The 12,349-nt window shown below is 37.5% G+C and overlaps 1 long non-coding RNA gene across 1 annotated transcript in view; it reads right to left on the reverse strand.

Moving 5' to 3' along the window:
• LOC105379452 (uncharacterized) overlaps positions 1 to 12,349 on the reverse strand; it is a 70,033-nt gene that overhangs the window by 6,433 nt on the left and 51,251 nt on the right. Inside the window, exon 4 of the long non-coding RNA XR_950692.3 lies at positions 9,863 to 9,911. This is a non-coding gene — a long non-coding RNA (uncharacterized LOC105379452). The remainder of the gene's footprint in view (positions 1 to 9,862; positions 9,912 to 12,349) is intronic.

Raw genomic sequence — 12,349 nt, forward strand, 5'->3', positions numbered from 1 at the left:
ACAGGTGTGAGGTGATATCTCATTGCAGTATTCACCTGCACTTCCAGAATGGTTAGTAATGCTGAACATCTTTTCATATGGTTGTTGGCTCTTTGTATGTCTTTTTTGAGAAATGTTTATTCAAGTTCTTTGCCCATTGTTTAATTGGGTTGCTTCTTTGTTTGTTGTTGAATTGTAGGAGTTCTTTATATATTCTGGCTATTAACCCCTTAACAGATGTATGGTTTGCGAACATTTTATCTCATTCCATAGGTTACCTTTTCACTATGTTGATTGTTTCCTTTGACATGCAGAACATTTTTAAGTTTGATATGGTCCAATTTGTCTATTTTTGCTTTTGTTGCCTGTGCTTTTGGTATAATTACCATAAAATCATATCCAAGTTCAATGCCATAAAGTTTTTCCCCTGTGTTTTCTCTTAGAAGGTTTGTATTTTCGGGTCTTACATTTAGGTCTTTACAGGACTTCCCACACTATGTTGAATAGAAGTGGCAAGAATGGGCATCATATGACAAATATCTGCCCAATCCCTGCAGCCCCCATCCCTGGCAACCACCATTCTATTCTCTATCTCTATGAGTTTGACATTTTTAAGTTCCAGATATAAGTGAGATCATGTGGTGTTTGTCTTTCTGTGTCTGGCTTATTTCACTTAGTATAATGTACTCCAGATTATCCCAGATGACAGGATTTCCTGACTGGACAGAATTTGCTTCTTTTTTCAAGACTAAATTACTATTCCCATTGTGTATATATGTTACATTTGCTTTATTCTGTCATTTGATGATGGACACTTAGGTTGATTCCAGACCGTGGCTATTGTGAATAACATGCTGCACTGAACATGGGTGTGCACATACCTTTTTGAGATCCTGATTTCAGTTCCTTTGGCTATATACCAAAAAGTGGGACTGCTGAATTATATGGTATTTCTATTTTTAATTTTTTGAGAATTCTTCATACTGGTCTCCATAATTTCTGTACTAAAATTCTCACCAATGTAACAGAATTCTTTTTTTCCGCATCCTCACCAACACTTACCTTTTATCTTTTTGATAATAGCCATTCTAATTGATGTGAGGTGGTATCTCAATGTAGTTTTAATTTGCATTTCATTAATGGTTAGGGTGATGTTGAGGATTTTTTCAAATACCTGTAGGCCATTTATATGTCTTTTTTTGAGAAATGTCTGTTTAGGTCTTTGCTCCTACATATATAGATATAGATATTGATATAGATATATACATATATCTATATATATATAGAGAGAGATTTTTTTTTGGAGTCTTGCTCTGTTGCCCAGGCTGGAGTGCAGTGGCGCAATCTTGGCTCACTGCAAGCTCCGCCTCCCAGGTTCACGCCATTCTCCTGCCTCAGGCTCCTGAGTAGCTGGGACTACAGGCGCCCGCCACCATGCCCGGCTAATTTTTTGTATTTTTAGTAGAGACGGGGTTTCATCGTGTTAGCCAGATGGTCTCAATCTCCTGACATCGGGATCCGCCCTCCTCGGCCTCCCAAAGTTCTGGGATTACAGACGTGAGCCGCCACGCCCGGCCAGTCCTTTGCTCCTATTTTTTAATTGGGTTATTTGTTTTCTGGCTATTAAATTGTGTGCTTTTTATATACTCTGTTTATTAACCTCTTATCTTCATGGTTTGCAAATATTTTCTCCCATTCTATAGGGTGCCTCTTCTCTCTCTGATTGTTTCTTTCACTGTGCAGAAGCATTTTATTTTGATGTTATCCCATTTTTTTTCAGTTAAACAGGAGATATATTGTACAACATGGTGAGTATAGTTAATAACAATGTATTGTATACTTGAAAATTGCTAAGAAAGTAAATTTTAAGTGTTCTCATCACCAAAAATAAGTTTTTGAGGTAATGCACATGTTAATTAGTTTGATTTAGCCATTCCACAATCAGTATATTTTTCAAAACATTGTGTTGTACACCATGAATATATATAATTTTTGTCAATTGAAAAATAAATAATCTTTTTAAAAAATAAAAATCTATAAAATTTTTTAAACAGTGGGCATTCTTGCCTGGCTCCTGATCTTAGAAGGGAAAGAATTCAGTTTTTCACTACTGAATATAATATTAGCTGTAGGCTTGTCATATATGGCCTTTACTATGTTAAAATAATTTCTTTCTCTTTCTAGTTTGTTGAGTGTTTTATGATGCAAGTGTGTTTAATTATGTTAAATTCTTTTTCTGTACCAATTGAGATGATCATATATTTTTTGTCCTTAATGTTGTTAATGTGATATCTTACATTAATTGATTTTCATATGCAAATTATCCTTGCATTCCAGAAATAAATCCCATTTGGCCATCACATATTATCCTTTTAACATATAGTTGAATTTGGCTTGCTAGTATTTTTTTAAGTATTTTTCCATTAATACTCATCAGAGATATTGGCTTGTAGTTTTCTTTCCTTGTATCTTTCTCTGATTTTGATATCAGGATAATGTTGGCCTCATAAAACGAATCAGAAATATTCCCTTCCTTTCAACTTTTTGGAAGAATTTGAGAAAGATTAAAAATTCTTTAAATATTTGGTAAAATTCTCCAGTGAAGCTATCAGGCCCTGGTATTTTCTTTATTGAAAGATTTTTGAATACTGCTTCATTCTCCTTATTTGTTACAGGTCTGGTCAGATTGTCAGTCTTGACAGGCTGTATTTTTCTAGAAATTTTCCATTTCTTATATATTATTCAATTTTTTGCCCATAAGTGTTCATAGTAATTTCTTTTTCCTTTTTCTTTTTTTTGGGAAGGAGTCTCGCTCTGTCACCCAGGCTGGACTGCAGTGGTGCGATCTCGGCTCACTGCAAGCTCTGCCTCCCGGGTGCACGCCATTCTCCTGCCTCAGCCTGCTGAGTAGCTGGGACTACAGGCGCCCGCCACGACTCCTGGCTAATTTTTTGTATTTTTAGTAGAGACGAGGTTTCACTGTGTTAGCCAGGATGGTCTTGATCTCCTGACCTCGTGATCCTCCTGCCTCAGCCTCCCAAAATGCTGGGATTACAGGAGTGAGCTACCGCACCCAGCCCAAGTGTTCATAGTAATTTCTTATGATTCTTTTTATTTCTGTAGTATCAGTTGTAATGTTTTCCCTTTCATTTCTGATCTTTGTTATTTGTGTTTTCTCTCTTTTTTCTTAGTCTAGCTAAGGGTTTGTCAATTTTGTGGATTTTTAAAAAAACGCATTTAAAAGTTTTTTTCTATTATTTTTCCGTTCTCTATTTTATATTTTATTTAGTTCTGCCCTAATTTTTATTATGTTCATTCTTCTGCTAGCTTTAGATTTTCTTTTTTTCTTTTTCTTTTTTTTTGGAGACAGAGTCTCACTCTGTCGCCCAGGCTGGAGTGCAGTGGCACAATCTCGGCTCACTACAAGGTCTGCCTGCCGGGTTCACGTCATTCTCCTGCCTCAGCCTCCTGAGTAGCTGGGACTACAGGCACCCGCCACCACGCCTGGCTAATTTTTTTGTATTTTTAGTAGAGACGGAGTTTCATCGTGTTAGCCAGGGTGGTCTCGATTTCTTGACCTTGTGATCCACCCACCTCGGCCTCCCAAAGTGCTGGGATTACAGGCATGAGCCACAGTGCCTGGCCAATTTTTTTCTTTTTTATAGGTCCTTGAGGTGTAAAGCTAGGTTGTTAACTGGAGATCTTTCTTCTTTAATGTAAGCATCTGTCGTTATAAACTTTCCTCTTAGTACTGCTTTTGTTGCATCCCATAAGTTTTGATATGTTGTGCATTTATTTTCATTATCCTCAGGATAATTTTATAATTTCCCTTGTGACTTCTCCTTTGACTTCAGTTGTTTAAGAGTGTGTTGTTTGGCTGGGCGCGGTAGCTCACGCCTGTAATCCCAGCACTTTGGGAGGCTGAGGCGGGTGGATCATGAGGTCAGGAGATCGAGACCATCCTGGCTAACATGGTGAAATCCCGTCTCTACTGAAAATACAAAAAATTAGTGGGACGTGGTGGCAGGCGCCTGTAGTCCCAGCAACTCGGGAGGCTGAGGCAGGAGAATGGTGTGAACCTGGGAGGCGGAGCTTGCAGTGAGCCGAGATTGCGCCACTGCACTCCAGCCTGGGTGACAGAGCGAGACTTTGTCTCAAAAAAAAAGAGTGTGTTGTTTAATTTCCACCTAATTTTGAATTTTTCGATTTTCCTTCTGCTGTTTATTTCTAGTTTCATTCCATTCCATTGTTGTCAGAAAAGATACTTGCTTGGTCTGATTTCAATATCCTTAAATTTGTTCCATGGACATGGAATATGTTCTATGTGCACTTGAGAAGAATGTATGGTCTGCTGTTGTGTGGAGTGTTCCGCAGGTGTCTGTTAGGTCTAATTGGTCTATAGTGTTGTTCAAGTCCTCTGTGTTCATATTAATCCTCTGTCTGGTTGATATATTCATTATCGAAAATAAGGTATTGAAATCTTCTAATATTATTGTGTTCCTGTCTATTCAATTCTACCATTGTTTGCTTCATATATGTCTGTGTTCTGATGTTAGGTGAATATTTATAATTGTATCTTATTTTATTGATCCTGTTGTCATGTATTGTTTTTCCTTGTCCCTTGTGAAAAGTTTTAGAATTATAGTCTATTTCATCTGATATAAGCATCACAACCTCTGCTCTCTTTTGGTTACCATTTGTATGGAATATCTATTTCCATTTTTTCACATTCATTCTGTGTGTGTCCTTAGAGCTAAAGTGAGTCTTTTGTAGACAGCATACGGTTGGATCTTGTTTCTTTTTCAATCCATTCAGCCATTCTGTGTCTTTTGATTGGAGTGTTTAATTCAATTACATTTAAAGTAATTACTGATAGGAAAGAAATTTTACAATCTCCTGCTGTCTTCTCTTGTGATTTTTTTCAGTGACATGTTTGTATTTCTATCTCATTTTTGTACATCTTTTTAAGATATTTTATTTGTAGTTACCATAGAGATTACATTAAACATCTTATAGTGAACTTGATGAACTTACATGAACTTATAATTATGAACTTAACTTCAATCACACACAAAACTTTACTTCTTTACATGTTACCCTACACACACTTTATGTTCTTGGTGCTATCAATTACATTTTTAACTTTATGTATCAATGTATATAGATTTATAGTTTAGTTATTTTCATGCTTTTATATTTTTAACTACACTAGAATTAAAAATTATTTATGCACCACCATCATAGTATTAGAGGATTCTGTGTTTGCTTAAATATTTACCTTCAGCAAAGAGCTTTATATTTTCATATGATTTCATGTTGCTAGCTAATCTTTTCATTTCATTTTGAAACTCCCTTTAGCTATTCTTCTAAGCCTAATCTAGTGGTGATGAAGTCCCTCAGCTTTTGTTTATTTGGGAAGGTCTGTTTATTTTTGAAGGACAGTTTTACAAGATGTAGTATTTTTGCTAGGCAAGATTTTTTTTTCTTTCAATACTTTGAATATATCATCCCACTCCCTTCTGACCTGTAATGTTTCTGGTGAGAAATCCACTGATAATCTTATGGAAACTCCCTTGTACATGATGAGTCTGTTTTCTCTTGATGTTTTCAAGAATCTCTCTTTGACTTTTGCTTTTGACCAGTTGGTTATTGTGTGTCTTGGTGTGAGACTCTGAGTTCAACTTAATTGGAGTCTTTTGTGATTCCTGAATTTGGATATCCATTTTCTTTCTCAGTTGAGTGGTTTTAAGCCATTATTTCTTCAAATAAACTCTCTTCCCTTTCTTGCTCCCTTCTCCTTCTGGAACTCTCATAATGCCTGTATTGGTCCACTCAGTGGTACCACATAAATCCCACAGACTTTCTTTATTTTCCATCATTCTCTTTTCTATTTGATCCTCTAATTCAATAACTTCAAATGACCTTTCTTTGAGTTCACTGATTCCTTCTTCTGATTGATCACATCTGCTGTTAAATGCTTATAGTGAATATTTCAATTCTGTTATTGCATTATTCAGCTCCATAACTTCTGTTTGGCCTTTATTCTGGTTTCTGTCTCTGTTGATATTCTACATTAGTTTGTGCATTGTTTTCCATTTGTTCTTTTTGTTTGTTTGTTTTTTGTTATTTTGAGATGGAGTCTGGCTCTGTCGCCCAGGCTGGAATGCAGTGGCATGATCTTGGCTCACTGAAAACTCCGCCTCCTGAGTTCACGCCATTCTCCTGCCTCAGCCTCCTGAGTAGCTGGGACTACAGGTGCCTGCCACCACGTCCAGCTAATTTTTTGTATTTTTTAGTAGAGACAGGGTTTCACCATGTTAGCCAGGATGGTCTCGATCTCCTGACCTCATGATCCACCTGCCTCGGCCTCCCAAAGTTCTGGGATTACACGTGTGAGCCACCATGCCTGGCTGTTTTTTTGTTTTTTTGTTTTTTTTTTTTTTTTAGATGGAGTTTTGCTCTTGTTGCCTAGGCTGGAATGTAATGGCGTGATCTTGGCTCACTGCAACCTCCAACCTCCACCTCCTGAGTTCAAGCTATTTCCCTGCCTCAGTCTCTTGAGTAGCGAGGACTACAGGCACCTGCCACCACGCCCAGCTAATTTTTGTATTTTTAGTAGAGACGGGGTTTCATCATGTTGGTCAGGCTGATCTCGAACTCCTGACCTCAGGTGATCCACCCACTTCAGTCTCCCAAAGTGATGGGATTACAGGTGTAAGCCACCGTGCCCAGCCTTCCTCTTTGTTTAGTTATATTTCTGTGTTCTCTTGTAATGCATTGAGCTTCTTTAAGGTGATTATTTTGAATTCTTTGTCAAGTAATTCACAGATATCCATTTTTAGGATTATTTTTTCTGGAAGTTTATTTTATTCCTTTGATTGAGTCATGTTTCTATGTTTTTCCATGTGTCTTGTTATTTTTTGCTGTGATGTGTGCATTTAAATATACAGCCACCTCTTCCAATCTTCATAAACTGCCTTCATACAAGGGAAGAGCTTCACCAATCGGCCTGGTTAGAGATTCTGGGGTCCTCCAAAATCTTTTCTGGGGATACATCTTTTCTGAGCTTATGTATCTGATTTCCCAGTTAGAGAGATTTGCAGTTTCTTTTTCAGGAGCTTCTAATCTCTTGCTGACACTGATGTCTGTCTGCAGTACTAGAAATTCTCTGATGTAATATGCAAGCTGCTGAATACCCTATTGTTTTCTGTGACCATAGGCATCCAAAGCATGCAGGTTCTGTCAATGCTCCAAGTCAGGTAAGACAGAACTCTGTTTGTAGGGCAGCCCCCTGACCAAAAAAAAAAAAAAAAAAAAAAAAAATACACTGAATTGCTGGATGCATGTTCCACTCTTCTCTTTTTCTTCCAAACGAGTAGTCATGAGCTGGGCATTTTCTCCCAGTCACTCCAAGCTGTACCAGCTCTTTCATGGTGATAAGGTTCTCTGGGGCCGCATCAAACTGCTGAGCAACCTTTTCTTCTCAGCAGTCCCAAGACATCCATACTATACTGGTTCCTCATCACTGCTTCAAGCCAGGTGAGAGGGAAACCAGTCCCTGAGCAGCCCCCTGAAAAGCTAGAACATTAAACATATGTTCTACTCTTCTCTTTCCCTCTCAAAGGAAAAGGCATGAGCTGGCCTTTTTCTCCTAATTTTGCTGTGTTGTGCCAGCTTGGAGGAGCTACTAAGGTTGAAATAAAATAACCTTTCTTACTCATTATAATGTGGCTGTTCTTGGCTTTGAGCTTGCCTGAGGTGCAATGATTTCTTAACTACTTTCTGGAGTTCTCATAAAGGCTTATTGTTGTCAAGTCAGTTTATCTGTGAGTGAATGAAGCCTGGGGCTTCCTAGTCTATCACTTTACTGACATCACTCTCTACTTTCTGTTTATTTCTTAACAAATTCCCAGATACTTCCTCTGGGCCCAAAAGTACCGAATCCATTTAATCCCATCACTTATTCATTATAAGGAGGAAAGCAAGGAGACCATGTTCTACAAGTCATTTCTGGCACTTTATTTTGCATCCACTCCAATATAATAAGTTCATAGTGAGCAGTGGTGGAGTAAAAACTTTAAAAGATGGAGAGAAAAATCTCTGTGTTAATGAGAGTTTTTCCAATTGACTGTGTTAAAAAAGAACACTGACTTTAGAATCAGACAAATAGCAGACTAGCAATCCCAGCTTGACTACTCAGTATGGAATATGGAGAAATTGAAATTCCCTGAGCCTTAATTTCTTCAGTAAATAATGCTGCCTTCACATAAAGTTGATATGAGTGTTCAATAATGAATGCAAAGTTTCTAGCCTAGAACACAGAACACAGTAGGCATTCACAGTAGGCACTCTCCTCCTCCAGTTAGCCAAATTAGATGAAAAGTATTATAGCAAGGAATAAATCATGTGAATAAGTTCAGTATATACCATATACCTATGGAAAAATATTGTGTAATCTAAAGACAAAATTTATATGTGCCTAAACTTTCAAATGATGTCTAGTACCTACTTTACATTTTTATAAACCAGCTGCCACATGCCAGGTAATTTGGTTGTTTGTTCTATGCCAACTAAATACCACAGTGAATTAGTGAGGTTTTTTGTTCTTTTTTTTTTTTGCTTCTCACTAGAAAAGTATTTTAGAATATAAAGCCTGAAAAGAAAGGCCAGATATTTGTAACTGACTGAGCAATACCTGGAAGGTTAAATAGGTACATTGAGGGATGTTGGCCAGAAAGGCTTCAAATGTATACCAAGAGAAAAAAACAAACAAACATAGGTGACATTTTGATATCACCATCAGCTTTACTTTAATAAGTAATAATAAAAGACATGAAGACATTGACATGTCTCTATAAATGTACACAATGCCAAAAGAGTTGGACATTATTTATTAGACTTGAACTGAAAAATATGTAAAGTAAATTTGCGTATTGATTCAATCTACCATTGACTTTCAATATGATTTTTAAAATCTCAAAGAAATATTTCCAATTTGAATAATTAATACAATTCATCCTTCAGATCCTGATAGTCATTTAAAGTACCATTAGCAATACCTGTCTACTCACTCCTACCAATTAGGTGGCAAAAAATAAGCCAGAGTCTAAATACCCAGGAATTTTTAAAACTCACTTCAAAATAAATCATCTCATTAAGGCTTTGCACTGCCTATTAAAGGCAGTAATGTAGATATTCAGCAGAAAATGTAACATGGAAAAGGGGCTGAGTCTGACTATACGGTAAAAACCCGTTATTAGAAAACTCTGCAATTAGCTCTCTTCATTAAGATCTGCTGGCTGGGCCGGGCGCGGTGGCTCACGCCTGTAATCCCAGCACTTTGGGAGGCCGAGGCGGGCGGATCACGAGGTCAGGAAATTGAGACCATCCCGGCTAAAACGGTGAAACCCCGTCTCTACTAAAAATACAAAAAATTAGCCGGGCGTAGTGGCGGGCGCCTGTAGTCCCAGCTACTTGGGAGGCTGAGGCAGGAGAATGGCGTGAACCCGGGAGGCGGAGCTTGCAGTGAGCCGAGATCGAGATCCGGCCACTGCACTCCAGCCTGGGCGACAGAGCGAGACTCCGTCTCAAAAAAAAAAATAAAATAAAATAAAAAATAAAATTAAAAAAAAGATCTGCTGGCTGATGGACCAAACACAAAAAAGCAAACAGGTTTTACAGGACTTAGTGCAAATTAATGACAGTTTATATTGCAATTTATTTTGCCCTAGATAACTTCCTTTGCAAAGATGTCAGAGAAAAGGGAGAAGGCAGTATTAACAGACAAATTACAAAATGTGTTACAAGTAACATACAAATATGTGCAAAAGTTCTTTCATTTATTGGTTTATTCACCTTTATGCAACAATTATTGAGCACTTACTATGTGCCAGGAAAGACTTCACAGGACAAGATCTCATGGACAATATATCCTAGTGGGCAAGACAGAAAATAACAGATAAGTAAATATATAAAATAATTTTAAATAGTGATGTATGCTATGAAGAAGATAATCTTATGTTACTGTCCTATCTTGGTAATTTAGCAGTCTCAAACTTTATGAAGCAGGTATAAAGAAAGGCTAACTTACGTGCTTTCATCTGAATCATTACATCAAATGATTGAACCAAGAAAAAGCCTTCCTCAGTTGGCTTCTTCATGAAAGTGACCACATCCTCCTTTCATGGAAACCGTTGGACTCACTCACTGACAGGATTTGACTTATCCTTCATGAATGTTGAAAATAAAATTACAGTTTTTTTGAAGTTTAGGAAACAAAAGAGAGTTTATTCAAGAAATAATGCCTGTGATAAAAAGAGCTCATTTGCACCATTTCTACCTGATTCTGAGTAGGCTAGTTAATGTTTTAGAAATTGCATTTGGGACTCAAGCAAAGCCTTTTGAAATTTAATGTTCTGTATATTCATAAAAGCATAATCAGATGTGTATTATTATTAAAAGTTCCTCTCATGGTTTTCATTTATGGTAAACGGCAATATGAAAGGACATAAAGAATACAAATTGATAAAAAATTTCCCTTAAAAAAAAAAGATTTTAGGATCCCCTTCCTCCTGCAAGACAAGTAGTTTCTGATGAGATTTGATTGACACTATGAGGTCTATGCACCTGGGTTGATATTCGTGTCTGTTTTTGCAATTAGAATACGTATTAGTGCTGACAAGCCTGGAAATTCTTCAGCACTTTAAAAGAAGCACAATTTTAGTCTTGCAAAAAACCTAATTATAATAAACAAAAAAATTATAGCTCTGATCATAGTAACCAGGTTGCAAACTCCTACCCAATAGTAGGAGTTTCAAACAACCTTCATTTAAGTTATTGTATTCACTTCACAGAGGAAAGAAATAGGGCAATTGAGCATTAAACAGTGTTGCAAATATGACTGGAAAACCTCCACCTGATTCAAGGGAAGTGTCTGTCCTCGGTGAAATGGGAAGATTGGTCAGGGGCCTATCCCCCTCTTGGAGGTAAATGAGGCCAAGTATTAATATTATTCTAAGCAGGTGGAGGTCTTACTATATTAGTCGGATAAATTCTAAAAATTAGGTTTATGCTTTAATGAGCTGCAGAAGGTTTGATTTTTTTAATGCTTCAACTGATCTGAATTCCTAACTCACAATACAGAATGGTCTTATGAAATGTCCCTATTCATAAAAGGTGCGTATTTCAATTTCTAGACAATTCATTAGACATTCTTCTCTGTTTAATCCATAAAAATAAAGCCTATTTCATCATGATTTGGATAATTTTGCAAAGGACGATGAGGCATCCCAGAGCTGGTTGCTTGCATAAACTGTTTTCATTTTCATGAATTTGTAAATAAATTACTGCCTGAACAACCAGACTTTTATAAGTCTTCAGGGTAGCTGTATTTAAAAAATTATACATAGTACTCTGACAGTACATTTCTCTAAAGGAAGTCAGAAAATTGTTCAAAAAGTATTTGGATTCAGCTTCTAGGACGTATTTAAGGTAGCAAACCTGCCCACCACCAGAGTATGAAGTAAAACAAGGCTAAGAGTGATAGAAGCATTTTTTTTTCTTTGAGATGGAGTTTTGCTCTTGTTGCTCAGGCTGGAGTACAATGGCACGAAGTTGGCTCACTGCAACCTCCAACTACTGGGTTCAAGACATTCTCTTGCCTCAGCCTCCCAAATAGCTGGGATTACAGGTGCCCACCACCATGCCCAGCTAATTTTTGTATTTTTGGTAGAGACGGGGTTTCACCATGTTGGCCAGGCTGGTCTCAAACTCCTGACCTCAGGTGATCCACCTGCCTTGGCCTCCCAAAGTGCTTGGATTACAGGTGTAAGCCACCACCCCCTGCCAATAGAAGCATTTTTTAACATGAGAGTCATTTAAAATTGCATGAGATCCTACCACGTAACAAACGCTGCATGCGTGCACTTTATGGGTGCATTCACATATGGCACCTCTTCCAAAGGGCATGCGATTTGGATTCCATTAAATTGAATGTTGCAAACTCATCAAAATGCAACCTTTAAAACTAGTTTTCCAAATGAAGAAACATCATAATACAATTTTATAGGCCGATGTGGAAAGGCTGTGTTAAAGACTGAATGCCTGCTCTCTGACACGTTCATCTTGTCAAGGCTTCCCAAAGGCACTGCAGACTTTGCAGCTGTATTAGCAGTGATTCCTTCGTTTGGAATGCCTGTTCCCATGCGCACACACTCTTGCTGCAGCCACATCATATTTAAAATCTGCCCTGATCCTCCTGGTTGACATCAATGTTGTCACTCCTCTTCATTTTCATAGCATTAAGCCCTATTTTGTACTTAACAGAAAGTAAGTTCGGCACAGAGGGAAGAGAATTGGGCCTGTTTTGTTC

This window comes from Homo sapiens, chromosome 9, assembly GCF_000001405.40.
Source record: "Homo sapiens chromosome 9, GRCh38.p14 Primary Assembly".
NCBI lineage: Eukaryota > Metazoa > Chordata > Mammalia > Primates > Hominidae > Homo > Homo sapiens.